The sequence below is a fragment of the Homo sapiens genome, chromosome 20 (genome assembly GCF_000001405.40).
Source record: "Homo sapiens chromosome 20, GRCh38.p14 Primary Assembly".
In the NCBI taxonomy this organism is placed as follows: Eukaryota; Metazoa; Chordata; class Mammalia; order Primates; family Hominidae; genus Homo; species Homo sapiens.
In genome coordinates this window covers 1,994,793-2,011,731 of record NC_000020.11, presented here as the reverse complement: position 1 = coordinate 2,011,731, position 16,939 = coordinate 1,994,793, and the positions used below count along the sequence as shown (strand labels likewise).

The following is a 16,939-nucleotide window of genomic DNA, read 5'->3' as shown; positions in this document are numbered from 1 at the left end:
TTTTACCTGAAATTGTTAAACTTTTTCTTGATTCTTTATATGTGGAGTACTTTTTTATTGTATCCTGGCCATTGGAATATCATGGTATGAGACTCTGGGTCTCATATTTGTTTAAATCCTATATAGAATGCTGATTGTTATTATTATTTTTAGCCAGGAAGTTGACCCACTTAGTTTTGGGCAACAAGTTTTGATCTACTTTCTGTGGGCTACAGTTTCATTATCAGTTTAGTTTTCAAAGGATTTCTGGTGCTAGTCAGATATATTCTGCATATTTACTGTCCATTGGCCAGCCTGGGATCTTGGTGGTTGTCTGTTCTCTAGTTCAGTTCTCAAAGTCTTTGGTATATGTTTAGGATTGGATGCATATATGCTTATTTCAGGGATAAGCCCAGGAATACATAGACTACTTTATTAGATCCCCTTCTTCAGCTGCCTCCTGAAGGTAAGTGGCAGAGAGAGAGAGAGAGAGAGAGAGAGAGAGAGAGAGAGAGAGAGAGGGAGACATACATCAGCAGGTGAGCATCCAGAGCTGAGGATGCTGAGAATCCCTAGCCAGTCTAGGGGATATTGTTTGAGCCCATGGTCAATCTGTGCTTGGTCTCCAGACTTCTCAATCACTTGTGCCAATACTTTTTTTATTTCCTAAACTAGGTGAGATCAGGTCTCGTAAAAGAGTTCTGAGTAATATGTACGCCTCTCGTGAGCATGGCAGCCATGGTGGTGAATGAGATTGTGGAATAAGAATGTGTCGAGAGAGAAGAAAAGAGAAGCCTGTTTTAAAAGATAGGTAGGAAGAGGAGCCTGTGGAAGAGAATGAGAGGAGTGCTTAGAGACACAGGCGAGTTCTTTGTCATGAAAGCCCCAGAAAGAGAGTGAGTCAAGAGAGTAATTAACAGCGTAGAATACTTGTAGGGGATCAGTCAAGATAAGAACTGAGAAGGGCCCTTGGGATCTATCAACATGAGGCTGTTGACAAAACAGTTGTAGTTACCACACTAGAAGAGTCCTTTGAAATCATACTCTACACCCTCTTCTGCAGATGAGGCAAGTGAGGTAATGAGCTACTTAGTTTTTTAGTTTTTTTTTTTTAAGTGGCAGATACAGAATTACAATAAGTAGAGGTCAAGGCTCTAAGGATATTTAAAGGTCGCCTGCTCTGATTCCTTATCCCGTACTTGAGTCTCCTGTACAACAGCTCTCTAAAGCTCGTGCCTAAATGCATCTACTGGGAGAGAACTCAGTTCCCAGTTCTAATGAGAGCCCTTAGTGTCTGATTCTTTATACTTTGTTCTCTTATACCACAGGGCAGACACATGCCAGGAGATTGTCTGCATCTTGAGCTGATCCTGGTGGAAGCTGATTGGATTTGAGAACTCAGAAGATTTGGTCAGGTTTTGAGTTTTAAGAAGGCTCTTGGCCAAAATGAAACCCTCTCCTCATAACTCTGGCTGCTCCCTAAATAAAGCCAGATCCTTAGGGAATTCCAGGACCAGGATATTCCAGGTCCAGCATAACATTTCCACATGGGTGTTCATAGGCACCTCCAGCCCAATACATGAAAAGGTGAGTGCATCACCTTCCCCTGCCAAAACCTGTTTTTATTCTTGAGACTCTGACTCCTCTTCCATCCAGGTGCTCAAGACAGAACTCTGGAGGTCTCCTTGACTCTTCTCTCTCCTCTATTCCTCAATTTAAAATGAATCATTATTATTCTTCCCAAGCATCCCTGGAACATGTCAATTTCTTCCTATTCCACCATGCCTCTCAAGTACAGGCCACCATTACCTCCTGTGTGGACAATGATCAGCCTTCCAGCTGGTTTCCAGCTTCTAGTGTCTTCCCGTATAACCTGTTCTCCACATTGAAGCCTATCACCTCCATGCTCAAAATGCTTCAGTGCCTTCCCATAGCTCTCAGGATAAAATACAGGCTCCCTAACAAGGCCAAGAGTTTGTCCTTAATTCTAGGGCTTCTGCCTGCTCTGTAGCCTCATCTTGTGCCTCTCTTTCTCACTCACTTTCTGCACTTCATTGACAAAGCCATGCTATTTTTCTCCTTCAATGCTTTTCGCTATTCCCATTCTTGGAGCTCCTTTTTGTCACCTTCTCTAATACTGCCTATACATTCTTAAGATCTTTGTTTGGATATCACCTTCTCAATAAAGCCCTCCTTAACTACCCCCCAGCCTATCATAGGTAGGATTGTTGCCATCCCTCTCTTCTCACAGGTCCTTGGGATGCCTGTATTATGTAACTTTTACTGTTCTCCAGTTATGTGCTTTGAATCTTTCTCCCCATTTGACTCTAAGGCCCAGGAGAACAGGGAATATGTCTGCCCTCATTCTCACAGTATTTTTACTGCCTGGCACAGTGCCTAGCACACAGAGTGTGTTGAGCGTGTACAATTCTATGGTTTAATTATTTATTTAATGCTTTTGGTGTTGTTGGCACCACTTGGATGAAAAGAAGCTGGGCTCAGATGAATTAGTACACCAAAATTCTTACTGCACCTTACAGGGTTCAGATAGACATCTTCTACATTCTCTGCTGTCGCAGGGAGTACTGAGTGTAACAGCTGAGATGGGAGCTATTGTGGCCTCTCCAGAAGAACAGCCCTCAAAAGGATACCCCAGGAGGCCTCATTTCAATACCAAAAACTTCTCCCTGGAATACCAGTAAGCCCTATGATGACATCAAAGCCAACCAGGTATCTGATCAATGTGAGCTAATTACTATTAGCAAATGTGATTCCAGCCCAAACATAAAGCCTTGGTGGCCTAATCATCCGTTCACTCTTTATTCAGCAAATATTTAATGAGCACCTACTCTGTGCTAAGTGCTGAAAACACAAGACAGACAGGGGTCCCTGTCTGTTAGTCGACATGATGGTGGTCAGGTTGAGCATGGAGCAAAGGAGGGCTGTTAGTTAAATAATTACATAGTGATTGTGGTTAGTGCTATGATGTAAAAGTATTGGGTTCTCTAACAGCATGTAAGGGGGGTCCTGACATAGGTCTGGAGAATTGGAAAGGATTTCCCTGAAGCAGTGGCCTAGGTATACATAATTTTTGCCAGGCTATGAAATGCGCAAGGAGTGTTCCAGGCAGAGGTAGCAGCAGAGCAAAGGGACTTGGCAGTTGGGAAGGAGCATGATGCCTTTTAGTTGCTGAAGGAAGGCAAATGGCAAAGCATTTGAGAGATGAGATGGGCAGAAAGAAGCTAGAGAAGAAATCGGGCCCAGACCATGCCAGGCCTTATAGGCCATGGTAAGAATTTATAGATTTTATCTAAGAATGATGAAAAGCTCTCACCAAGAACTGTTTGATCCTCTGAGGGAACAGGAGTAGCTGCTGGCATTTAATTATAATAATACCCATGCATGGTAGGTGTGGTAGTTTTCAAACTTGGCTGTAAATTGACACTCCTTCCACTTAGAGATGGGGTCTATGTCCCCTCCTCTCAATCTGAGTGGCCTTGTGATGGTTTTGACCAACAGAGTGCGAAGGAAGTGACACTATGTGACTTGCAAAGCTAGGTCATAAAAGGTCATGCAACTTCTGCCTGTTCACTGGAACACTAGCTTTTAGAATCCTGCTGGAGAGGCCAAGGTAAGGCATTGTAGCTGAACCCAGCCTTTGAGGCAACACTGCCTGGGACCATGTGAAAAAGTCTCAGGTTATTCCAACCCCCACCTATTTGAGTTTTCCAGTCTGAGACCCCAGACATCATGCAGCAGACACAGCCATACCTGTTATATCCTGTCTAAATTTCTGATCTAAGACTCTGTGAGCATAATCGAATGATTGCTTTGTTATCCCACGAAGTGTTAATGTGGTTTAATATGCAAGAATAGAGAGCTGAAAGAGTAGATATATTATTAGTATTCTCCCATCTTACAAATGAAGAAGCTGAGTTTCAGAAAGATTAAGCAACTAGATCCAGGCCTTGCAGACAGTCAATAGTAGAGCCACGATTGAATCAAGGTCTGGTTAATTGCAGAGCCTGCTCCCTTCTGATGATCCCGGGTGACTCCTACACTGAGTAGGGCTCCCTGACAAAAATCTCCCAAGCTCCCCCGTTACTGCTCTTCAATCTGGAGACCCACTTTGGTCAATCTAGATTTCAATGACTAGGATTTGATTACAGAAACAGCCTTCGTGACACATTTGATTTGCATTCTTTTCAAATAATTGAAAGACATTCACTCTGCAATCGCTTCTTTTCTGACTTTATTTTCCCCTCCACACCCACAGGCAGGAGCCAGATATTTTTGCCAAGCCTGACAAATCTGCTCCTCTCCCCACATTGCCCCCAGTGCACCAATGCCCACTAGTCCCCTATTAAATCCCAGTCAGGGTTGTGAGAAGGCTGATTCAGCTCCCTCTCCCCACCCCCTCAGAAGAGTTAGGGATGAGCAAATCACTTATTGGAGTAATTCTGGGAGCTGAGGCAGAGCCATGGCTGGAAGCCACCCACTAACAAGAAACCCAGGACATCAATCAGCCAAACTGATTTTTCCGCTGCCGCAGCCACTTAAACAGTTATCTTTGCTCGAGGCTTTGTCCAAAGTTACTCAATCAGTGGGTTCCTGGGCGATAAGTCACGGCAGCCTCACTGCACTGTCTCTGTGTCCTAGGGCTGCCTCTTTACTCACTTCTCGAGAGGGGTTGAAGTTCATTTTTTGCACTCTAAAAAGAAGAGCTCCTGCACTGCTTGCGCACATATTCTGGTTATAGCGGGAAGATGAAAAAGGATATTGAGGTCTGCTGGGATATCAATACGCTTCTCATTTGACGCCCTGCGGAGGCAAGGGAAGGATGTTTTAATTCATTTTATAGCGCCCCCTGCTGGTCGCGTGGTCCAGCTGCAACAAACGCATGATCCAAGCCTTCCGGGGAGCCCCTTATAAGCCATTTGTGGGGTGGGGAGGGGACCCATTAGCCACACAATCTCCTTTTCCATTTTACATATGGCAAAGTTGAGGCCAGAAAGAAAAACATGATTCCCTCAAGGTTGAATAGTGAGTCAGTGCTATTGTTAGAATCAGCCTCTCCCAAGCTGGCACCTTTTCTAGGCTCCGAGAGTGCCCAGCGCATAGTTAAGTGGCTCTGCTTGACAGCACAGCATGAAATTAGGAGGTCCTGGATTCAAACCTAAGCTCTGCCGCTTAATAGCTGTCACGAGAAGGGAGTTCTCAGAGACCCAGTTTTCTCATCTATGAAATAGGGGTAAAATAAAAATGGGTAAAATAGGATTTTGTGAGGATTCATTCATCCACACATTTATTAAAAACCTATTGAGTGTCTACTATGGGCCAGGCACCGTGCTGGGTACTTGCGGTATAATGGTGAATACAACATTGCAGTACCTGTTTTCTGCTTTTTTGTTTGTTTTTAGGGTGACAGTCTAATGAGAGTATTAGATAACATATGCAAATACACAGCATAAATTTAACAACTGTTGAGAAGGGAAACATTTTCCCTTTGATTCTCCACACTTTCCAAGTATCAGGAGGCTCGGGGCCTTGCCCCAGCTGTATCAGTTTAGGAATATTGATGACTCGAAGAGATTAAGTGATTTAAAGGTCAAGACCACATAAATCTCTGTATTCTTCAGTATGCCTGCCCCCAGGATGTGCTCAGTAAATATTTGTTTGGTTGCATGAATGTCCCACGTTCTGGCTTCCTCGCCTCCCCGGCTGCCAGCCAATCGCTGTCCGTGGTGCTGAAAAGCAAATTCCTGCTACCGAGCATGAGGCGGCGCAGGTGCTGAGGCAGAAAATGGAGCCCAGGGGAAGTGAATAAAGAGAGGAAGAATGAGCCAGCTTTTCACTGACTATTAGTGACATCTTCATTTTGCCATCTCTTGGAATCCAAAGCTAATATTCCTTTTTCCAGATGTCCCCACTTGGCATTTCTTGCTAGCTGGAAACACTGGGCAGATAGGTGATGCAGGATGATCATGTCTACAATGGGGGTGGGTGGGGGAGAAGGGGTACTGGGAGTCCACAGCCCCATAAAGCCCTATTTTAAAGTGTTCTGCAAAAGTGGTGGATTCTTTCTCTAGACTCTTCCTGGGCAAGGAAAAGGCAGCAGTCATCGATGCCTTCTCCAGCTGCTTTCATCCATGTCTGTCACCCAAGAATGTAGGCAGCTCTGAGTCAGAACTGGCTGTGGAAGTTCTGACTCAGATACTCAGATGTATATGGCAGAGTCATATATGTGGTATATAGTAGCCCAAAAGAGATCTGTCTGGGATTAACAGGCTGAAGCTGAGTGAGTGTTTCATTTTGACCCATATTTAATGTGATAATATTTTTACTTATTCATGCATTCTATAAATATTTGTTGAGTGCTTCCATGGCCTGGAACTGTTATAGGAGTTATAGATATACAGTCAAGTACAAGAAAGACAAGATTTCTGGCTTCCTGAAACTTACATTCTAGTGGATGAGAAAAAGAATAAACAAGTACACAAATGTGTAGCATAATTCCAAGCAAGAGGATAGATGATGATAGATAAGGTTCTCTTTTAGATAAGGTGATCATTGGAGGCCTCTTTGAGGAGGTTTCATTTGAGCACAGATGTGAATGAATTGAGATAATAAAACATGAAAATATTAGGGGAGGGCAGCATTCCGACTAGAAGCAACAACAAGAGCAAACACCCTGAGGTGGGAACAAGATGGCATATCCAAGGACCAGAAAGGGAGCCAGTATGAGTGGAGTAGATTAGACAATAGGGGACATGAAGACGAGATCCTGTAGGTCTTGAGGAGGACAAAGCAGGGTGTCTGGAATATGAGAAACACAAAATGACAGTTACTGCTGCACCTGCTATCATGTATTGATCATTGAGTATATAGTAGGCACTGTGATAAGCATTTACATGTATTAATATCATACTTGCAACAACCCTATGAGGAAAGTGAAGTTATTACTCCACTTCACTGATAAGAAAATTGAAGCCCAGAGAGATTAAGCAACTTGCCAAAGATCACACAGCTAGTCCAGGGCCCAGCCAGGCAGTCTGGCTCTGGAGCCCTTCATTGCTCCTAATCACTGTATTCTATTGATAAAAACATCATTACTCAGAGAGGTAAGTGAATTGCCTAGTTAGTTATACACAGCCCAGAGATGATGGATCAGACTTGAATCCTAGGATTCAGCCCTGGGGTATTTCCACTGCACCACACTGCCTCTTTCTATGGTAAAGCAGAATAAAGGAGAGAGGCTGTTCTGTGACAGCACCACAGAGGCAGGAGCAATTTTAATGCTGCCAGCGAGCCCCATGGGGATTTTATTTAAATGATAATCTGCACTCTGCAGTTGTCTGATATTCCCTCCCACTTACCTTTCTCAAATGTGAAAACCATGTCACTCCATGCACCCTCCCCCAGCAGGTAAATGCTTTACCAAGGAAGCTCAACCTTTCTGTAGGGATTTCAGGTGTTGAGAAAGCTCCCTCCTTAAATACCATTGTTTCAGGGGCTTGTAAAGATGACTCAGAGAGAGAGAGAGAGAGAGAGAAGCTGCAATGGAAAATTAATGATCTTATCTGAGATGGGACCCAGGCTGAAGGCTCAGCTTTAGGCTGATAAAGGCCCTTCAGCAAGGGCTCCAAGGAGTCCTGAGTTGTCACTGACCAGTTGTTTAAAGAGAACTCAGGAGCAAGGCTCCGAGCTACTTCTATTCTCTGCAACTTTTAATATTCCTGAGTGTGTCACAAAACTGGGAGGGTGTGGAGTGTGCGTGTTGAAGGATGTGTTTGCATGAGTGCTGCTGTTGTTTCTCTGTGTGTGTGTCTATATGTATTTGGGTGAGGTAGTGCTTCTATAAGTTTGTGTGTGAATCTGAGTACTAGTGAGGGTCTGTGTATTTGACCATGCATATGTGTGTCCGTTCAAAACCAGGTGTATGTATGAGTGTTTGTTTGGTGTGAATCTGTGTATATTGTTCTGTGGGTACTTGTGGGTCTCTGGGTGAGATGAGGGGAGGAATCCTAGATGTTTAGTTAGAAATTGGCAAATGCAGGCAGGCTAGAATAATGGAAGCAGTTAAAGTGCAGGTCTTTTTATGCTGCTACTGAGGTAGGAGAAGAAAAAGCAGTGAGGTTAAACCACATAGAAAACCTTTAAAAAGTTTTCATCTTCAATTTGGGGAGGATCGGCTACTATTAATAGTAATGGCAGTTTATAATTAACAATAGTATTGTGGAACCAGTCCCATCAGCTCCCATTTCAAGAATACCTACTGTAATCTTCATTATATTTAGTATCTGCCATTCTCATGACAACTCTGTGCTTTTCTCCATGTCCGTTTCACCGAGGAGGCAACTGGAGCTCAGAGAGGTTGAGTAACTTGCCCAGAGTCACACAGTTAGCAGGAGTGGAGCCCAGAGGAGAACTCAGGCATAATTGATACCAGAGGCTGAGTTTTTTTCCCCTCTCCAGACTGCAATTCTTCACCTACACCAGCCATCACCCCCATCTCCAGCCAGGCCCCAGACCCAGAATGTGAAGAAGAGGATGGCAGAGCAGGCACAACACAAAGGGGAGAACAAGGTTCTAGGCCCCACTTGTCCATGGAGTTGTGTGGCCTTAAGACAATAGTCTTCCCTCTGCACCTCCATTTCCTCATCACAGAAGTGAGAATCTGGATTCACTGGTCCCCCACTCTGACAGGGCCACAGGGAAGGGGTCTTTGTGGGTGGTCCTTATATCACCTGTGGAGTGTTGACCTGAAAAAGGGCCTCTGGGTGGAGGCAGAAGAGAAAATTCAAGATATGTGTCCACCTGGCCTAGGGCACTCACTCCTTTCCTTCCCAGTTGTGGGGGATACGCGTGCTTGGGCCTCAGCCCCCATTCCCATCCACTCCCCCTCTTCTCCTTGGTACACTTTCCCATATTGCAGAGATAGGAGTTGAAAACTATTTTCCCCAGCCTCCCTTGCGGCTAAAGTTCTCGATGTCAATTATGTTCTGTCAATTATCTAGGCTGTGTGAGATTTTGACTCTGGAATTGAAACAGAGGCCGTCTCTCTGCTGCTGTGGCTCTTTCCTCCAGCAGGAGCCATCATGATGGCATGGGGGTTTTTGCAGCAGCATCTCAGAGTCTGGTGGCCACCTCCATGGGTGTTGAGAGGCAGTTGTGATGACGTCATGGTGGCTCCCCAGTCCCAGCTTCCAGATCCCTGGACCCAAGTGTGACAGTAAGTTCTTGAACTCACTATTTGCAGGGGTGGTCTCCCATTTGCCTGGCTTTCTGATTGCATGGCTGGTTGGTCAGGTAGTATTCTGGGAGTCATTTACAGAGGCCCTGTTGACTCCTCCAGCGCCTTCCCTCCGCTAGCACCTTTTAGAGTTCCTTATCCCCTGTGTTAAATCAACTTTTGCTTTAAAAAGCCTGGATGATTTCTTTCAGCTGCACAGAACTCTTTCTGGTCACCATGGAGCTCTCCTACTCATCCTTCAAAACCCAGCCTTGGTCTCTAGCTCCAGGATGACTTCCCATATTGAACAGACTGGCTTGGGTACTTCTGTATATCCACACCTCTATCTCAGCCCCGTCCAGGTGGTGCTGAAATCACTGAAAGTACTGTTTACTTCCTATCATCCCTGCCAGCTTGTGATCCCCAGAGGGCAGGAACTGGGTCATCTTAGCCATGCAGCTCAGTGTTTAGTAGAGAACCTGGCCTATAATACATACTCCAGGTGTCTTGTGGAATGAATACAGAAAAGGCCACAATTTGTCAGCTCAATAGGATTTAGGAGAAACTGTAAGATTTATGACTGAGAAAAAATCAGTTTAATCTCCTCCTTTGGCAAAAAGAAACTCACCTGGCATAAAGAGCTATTATTAGGAATGATGTATATTATGGGGCTCATGGGATGATGAGGAGCAGGTCTTAAATGAAGGGTCTCATTTCAGATCAAATACCCAGAATCTCCGGGCAGGTCTGTCCTCTTGCTGATGCCCAGGCTGCTGCTGAGGAATTAGGAGATGGTGGCTTTTGAGAGGTAGCTTGATGAGTGAAAAGAGCCCTGGCTTTTGAGGCAGACAGACCGAGGTTTATAACCTAGCTGTATCACATTCTGTGTAACCTCAGACAGGTGATTGAGCCCTCAGCTCGGTTTCCTCATCCGCAAAGTGGAGCTAATGATATTTACCTCCTAGAGTTGTTGTGAGGGTTAAATGAGACAGTTTAGGAGATGTGCCTGGCACCTAGCAGAGACTTGATGAGTGGAGGCTGTGATTAGATTTTAGTGATGTGAGATGTAAGGTTTTTCTCTTTTGTGCAGGGGGCTAAAAACAGTTCACATTATTACCCAGTGAAGTCTAGACCAGGCATCCAATCCTGCCACTGACCTCTTGTTCGACTGGCAGCAGAGGTCAGGCACATGTTCCAGACACGTGGTCATAAATGTGAAGCCTGTAGTCCGGACCCAGAACATAGTAGGTACTCAGTAAACAGGTGTCCCTCCTTACCATGTGCTGGTCAAATTCTTGTTCAGGTCTTGGTCCCAGAAGTCTAGGAAGGACAGAGGAGCATCATGGGTGGATGTGACAAAGCAGAAAGGGGCACAGACTTTGGAGCTATACAGATCTTGATGTGAGTCCTGACTCTGTCCGTGTCCTGCTGCGCTACTTAGGAAGTCATTTCACCTCTCAGTGTCTGTTTCTTCATCTGCAAAGTAGAACTTACAGTGCCTGCCTAACTGGGCTGCTGAGAAGTTACTAAAGATCATGTATCCCTGTTCTTAGCATTCTGCCTGGCACAGGGTGACTCTCAGTGGATAATAGCATGTATGCATTTGCTGCTTTTGGGTTTCAGCTTGCCTCTGTGAGGTAGTAGTGCAAAGCATGGTCTTTACAGTCAGAGGAACTTGGGGTCTATTCCATTTATGAGCTGTATGACCTCAGGCAAGTGGCCACCTCTCTGAGTTCAGTTTCTTCCTCTGGCAGATGAAGGCAAAAATAGCACCTACCTTGTTGATTTGCTGTGAGGATTAAATGGGATAATAATACATAGAGACGAACTAGCAGAGTGATGGGCATCAAGTAGACGGACAACAACTATCAGCTCAGAGTGTGGAAGTTGTGCTGCCAGCTGAGGCAAAATAGGAGAGAAGGTGAAGTTTTGCCCTTTGGGAATGGGTAGTTCTGTGGCTTCATAATGCTGTTGCATCCATTACCACTATCTACACCAGAATGTTTTCATCACCCCAAGCAGAAACTCCGTGCAATTTAAGCAATAACTCCCCACTTCCCCCTCCGCCTAGCTCTTGGTAAACTTTACTCTGCTTTTTCTCTCTATGAATTTTCCTGTTCTAGGTACCTCATAGAAGTGGAATCGTACAGTATTTGTCCTTTTGTGTCTGGTTTATTTCGCTTAGCGTAATGTTTTCAAGGTTTGCCCATTCTGTAGCATGATCCAAACTTCATTCCTTTATATAACTAAATAATTATTTGTTGCATGTGCATCTGCCACATGTTGTTTATCTATTTTTTTGTTGATGAACACTCAGGTTGTTTTTAACTTTTGCTGATTGTGAATAATGCTGGTATAGGCTGGGCATGGTGATCACACTTGCAGTCCTAGCACTTTGGGAGGCTGAAATGGGAGGATCACTTGGGGCCAGGAGTTTGGGACCAGCCTGGGCAACATAATGAGACCCTGTCCCTAAAATAAATAAATAAATAAATAAATAAATAAGCTGGCTTACAGGGAACTGTGATCACATTACTACACTCCAGCCTGGGTGATAGAGTGAAACACTGTCTCTAAATTAATGGTGATGATGATGATGATAATGATGCTATAAACATTGGTGTACAAGTGTCTGAGTCCTTATTTTCAATTATTCTGGGTGTATATGTAGGAGTGAAATTGCTGGGTCATATCGTAATTCTATGTTTAACATTTTGAGGAACCCATCAAAATTTTTTTTCCATAACACTGTACCCTTTTACATTCCAGCCATAACACATGAAGTTTTCAATGTCTCCATTTCCTTGACATTGGCTCTTTGAGGTGCATTAGGAGACCAAACTTTGTTTGGCAAACTCCTATTCATCCTTCAAAACCCACCTCAGAGTTTGCCTACTCAGGGGTCCCCAGACAGAGTACATCACTGCTGCCTCTGTATCTTGCATTGCTTTGCTTTTGCACCCACTCCATGGTGTTTTATGCCAACAGATATCCCTTATTGGACTGTGAGTTTGTTGAGCATAGGAATCTTGTTGGATTTGAATCTGAATCACCAGCACCAGAGCACCAAGAAATGCTCATGAGCCAGATTAAATGATTGAATAAGTTCCCTCCAGATCTCTGAGTTCTCTGTCCACATGGAGAGCCATTGCCAACCCTTTCCAGCCTCCAAACGTGCTTCAGATAAAGTGCTATGTTGACCTGGCCCTTGGGGTCCTGTGTGGCTTCTTCTCCATTTCCCATCTTTCACTCTGTGCTCCAGCCACACTGAACCATTTGTTGTTCTCTTAGTCACTAACTCAACGAATGTGTACTGAGCACTTACAATGTGCCAGGCGAGACAAAATTCCTACCTCCCTAGAGTTTACATTCCACCAGCGGAAACAGGCAATAATCAGATAAACCAATAAATATATTGCATCAGGGAGGGATAAATGCTGTGGAGACTGACAGAGGTGGGTGAGGGATGGAGAGGGACAGAACACAGGGTGTGCAGAAGAGACCTGTTTTAGGAAGTGACGTTTAAGCCCAAAGCCAGATGCAGTGATGGAAGGAATGTGGGGAAAAGTGTGTTCCTCAGAGAAGGCACAGCAAGCACAAAGTCCCCGAGGCAGGAATGTGCTTGGTGTGTTTGAGGAGCAGCAGGGAGGCCAGGGCAGCTGCAGGAAGCGGGGAGGACAGGAGGTCAGCAGAGAGTAGACCTTCCAAGTGAGGAATATGTGGACCTTCTTCCAAGTCAGATGAAAACCACTGGAGTGTTTTAAGCAGGGGTGAAGTACAATCTGAGTTGCTTTTCTTTTTTTTTTCTTTTTTTTTTGAGACAAGGTTTCACTCTTGTCACCCAGGCTGGAGTGCAATGGCGTGATCTCCGCTCACTGCAACCTCTGCCTCCCAGGTTCAAGCGATTCTCCTGCCTCAGCCTCCCAAGCAGCTGGGATTACAGGTGCCCACCACCATGCCTGGCTAATTTTTGTATTTTTAGTGGAGACAGGATTTCACCATGCTGGCCAGGCTGGTCTTGAACTCCCGACCTCAGGTGATCCACCTGCCTTGGCCTCCCAAAGTGCTGTGATTACAGGTATAAACCATAGCACCTGGCCTGAGTTGCATTTAAAAGAATCTCTCTGGCTGCTGAGGAACAAATAGTAGGCTGGGTAAGGGCAGAGGAAGAGGCCAGCCATCTAGGAGAGAAGTGACAGCGACCGGGGGCCCAGGCGATAGAGTCAGAAGCAGTGAAGAGGAGGTGTCAGGGCAAGAGAAAGAGGGGAGTCAAGAGCAACTCCCCCACCATCCCACTCAACTCTTCTTGCTTGTAGGCCTTTGCCTAAGCTGTTCCCTCTGCCTGACATGCCCTTTCTTGCCCTCTGCCTGGAAAACTCCCACCTGTGCCTCAGTCTTCAGCTTCACGCTCACTTTCTCCAGGAAGCCTTCTCCCAACTCTTCAGCAGGCTGGTTGGGAGCCCCTTTTCTGTTCCCACAGTATTCCAGGTCTCCTAGCCCCTACTTGCCGTACTGCTGTGAGTGGCTGTTCCTATACCTGCCCCTCAACCTGGATTGTGAGGACAAAGAGGGCAAAGTTGTGTGTGGCATGTTAAGCCCTAAGGGCTCAGCACTGAGAATGGCACATTGGGATGTTTCAATACAGATATGTGGAAGAAAAGGAAGAGGAAGAGGAAGAAGAAGAGAAAGAGAGAGAGAGAGATGATGAGCACAGCTCCTCACTCCCTCTTGCAGCAGCGAGGCACAAACACGACGGCTGGGGCAGTGGGAGTCTCTCACGCGCTTGCCCACCCAGCCCCGGTGTGGACATCCACGCTGGACACACGGCAGCATGAAAAGTGATTTGGGAGACTTGATGCTGACCACAGGACCGGAACTTCATCCCACTGAGGTCCTCCTGAGTGATCCATGTTGCCTGCTGCCACTTTTCCAGGCTGACAGGTGAGTAGAGAACGCACACAGAGCTCGGAGCATGAAGCAGAACAGGGAGGAGAAGCCCAGGCGCAGCGCAGCTCATGGCTGGGGCACATGCCTGGAGTCGGATTGCCTGGGATCAGGCTGTGCTCTGCCACTTTCTACCTGTGTGCCTTTGTGCGAGTGACTTAACTTCTCCCAGCCTCTGTTTCCTTCTCTGTAAGGTGGGGGCAGGAATTGCATCTAATGGCAGAATGGTGGGGAGAATCAGGTGTTGATTTGTGTCAAGGGTTTACAATGGGGCCTGGTAGTAGACAGCCCTTCAGAAATGCTGGCTTTGTTTCTTAACTTTTCTGTCTTCCAGCCTGTGCTTCCTGAATCCTACCTAATGGAGTGATTTGAGGACTGGTTGTTTTAAATCTTTCCTTTTCTTTACTCTTTGCCTTTTGCCCACCTCGAGATCTGCAGTAGAAACTGGTCATGCACGGAGGGTGTGCAGGGAAGGGAGCATTCTAGAGCTTTGGAATGAGCCCTGACATCTGTATAAAAGCTAGCAGCATCCTCCTGTCTTCAGAATGACTCAGGTGCTCAGAGAGGCGAAGTATCCATCAGTTGTCACACAGTGAGGAAGCAGTGGCGTCGGGATCTAAGCTGAAGTGAGCCTGGCTGAGCCATGGTACCCACCCCCGGGACTGCTGCCCACAGGGCCAGCACCATGATTGGTGCATCACTGAGCCCAGGAGAGGGTGAGCTTTATGGCAAGGTTCTCCAGGACTAAGGGGGAAGGCTGCTCCTGGCCTTCTATGTGTGTGTGTGTGTGTGTGTGTGTGTGTGTGTGTGTAAAGGAGGCTGCGGAAGGAGAGGAAAGGCAAATGCAGGAACTATTTGCTCTTGAGGCAACAGTAGACTCAGGGGGTGAAGGATATCAGACATCAATGGCTTAATGAGGATTATCCATGAGTGTCTCTACTCTCACTGCCCCAACTTCCCTCTGGTGAATAACAGTCAGGAGAGGCCCCTGTCCTCTGCTCTTCCAGTGCTTGCTGACTTCCAGCCACGGGAGCCATTGTACTCCCTCTCTAAGAGTCTCTGTGTATTCGAAGGTTATTACCAAGAGCTTATAGAGGCAGAGGTTAGGAGGAGAAGGAGGAAATGAAAAATGAGGAAAGAGAGCAGTTGGAGTGAGGCTTTGGCCTTGGGGATGAAGTAGACGCTCACTCCTGGGCTCCCAGATTCCCAGGGTGGCAATGAATAGACTCCACTCATGTCCTCTGGCCACCATGCAAGAAGCCAGCCTGAGATGTGGCCAAGTGCTTGGTGACCCTGCGCACTGGCTATCACCAACTGGGCAGGGGCTTCCACATAGGGCACCAGGAGTCGCTTGCACCCGCCAGTCAGACCCCTTGTGCTGCCTCGGGAAGAGGAGACAGGGAGGAGAAGGAAAGTGAGGCTGTGGGTCCAGAGGGGAGTGTGGTGGGGCTGCAGCTTCAGGATCTGAGGGATGGGTCTCGGTTCTTCCTCCCTCCCTGGGTGGCTGGGGCCTCTCTGAACTTCTGCTGCCTTCTCCATCTGAGGACGCATTGTGAGATCCACACCACAGGTTTTCTTGTTGTGAGGATGTGATGGAATGTGGAAATGTCTGAGGCATAATAGGTGTTCAGCAAACAGCCCCTTCTACCCTCCTCCTTATGTGAGAGTTTAACGAGCCAGGTGCAGGGAGAGGAGGATGCCCAGGAGAACCTGCTGCATCAAAGCTGGAGGGATGTGGTTTATCAGGAATGATGGGAGCAGAACATCCGCTCCGTACTGGCTGCTTTAAGTGCTATTGACACATCCTCCTTTCACCCTCACAAGAGCCCAAGAGCCCCATGATACTGTTGTCCCCACTGTACAGATGAGCAATCAGAGGTTGAAGTTGGCAGCTTATCCAAGGTCTCTCCGATGGTGAGTGGCAGACCTGAGAGTCAAACTCACATCTTAAATGTCATTAAGCACAGCCTGTGTATGGAGAGGCTGAGTCCCAGAGAAGAAAACTGACCCCACCCCTCAGTGTGGGCAGATTCAAGCCTGGGGAGAGGCAAGGGAGGGGGCAGAAACTTGGAGGGTAGATGGACCTGACTTTAGGTTCTAGCTGGATGACTTACTTGCTGTGTGTCTCTAGGAACTTGGAGGGTAGATGGACCTGACTTTAGGTTCTAGCTGGATGACTTACTTGCTGTGTGTCTCTAGGAACTTGGAGGATAGATGGACCTGACTTTAGGTTCTAGCTGGATGACTTACTTGCTGTGTGTCTCTAGGAAAGTTTCTCAGCTCTCAAACCTCTGTTTTCTCATCTGCAAGATGGGGATAATATTAACCAACTGGCTAGGTCATGAGGATTAAATCTGACAACTCTACCTAACCGCCTGGTGCAGCCAGGTGCCCACAAAATGGGCGGCCCTGCCAGACTTCTGAAATAGTTGTGCCTCCCACCACAAACTGTCTGCTATTGACTGAGAAGAGAAGCATGTTCTCTTCCAAACTCAAAGACCCTTATGTTCTGGAAGATCTCTGTAGCAATGAAGAGTGCCACCTTCAAGCTGCTGCTGGTCCAGGCCAAGGGTATATTGAGGTGGGTCCATCCCTCACCCAGAGTGTGTGCTGAGGCATATTGCAGCCCATATTTTGAGGGGTTTTTCCTGCTATTCATTTTGTGTTGCCGCCAGAGAAAACTAAACTGCAGCTCCTGGCTGTCGGGGAAGAGCTGTGCTTCTGCCAGGGCTAGTGTGCCTGGCACCAGCTCAGGCATGTACCAGAGCCGAATGCCGTTTGCAG

General features: G+C 46.5%; 1 long non-coding RNA gene across 1 annotated transcript in view, besides 1 other annotated feature; it reads right to left on the bottom strand.

The window, feature by feature from the left end:
• Window positions 1–4,214: 4,214 nt before the first annotated feature.
• The window catches only part of PDYN-AS1 (PDYN antisense RNA 1), a 60,308-nt gene continuing 47,583 nt past the window's right edge, over window positions 4,215–16,939 (bottom strand). Inside the window, exon 4 of the long non-coding RNA NR_134520.1 lies at window positions 4,215–4,800. This is a non-coding gene — a long non-coding RNA (PDYN antisense RNA 1). The remainder of the gene's footprint in view (window positions 4,801–16,939) is intronic.
• Window positions 5,515–5,809: a silencer, noted in NCBI's record as "tiled region #7514; HepG2 Repressive DNase unmatched - State 8:EnhW, and K562 Repressive non-DNase unmatched - State 10:DNaseD". NCBI's record gives its function as "represses a minimal TATA promoter and a strong SV40 promoter by Sharpr-MPRA in HepG2 and K562 cells {active_cell/tissue: HepG2 | K562}" and the evidence as "EXISTENCE:reporter gene assay evidence [ECO:0000049][PMID:27701403]".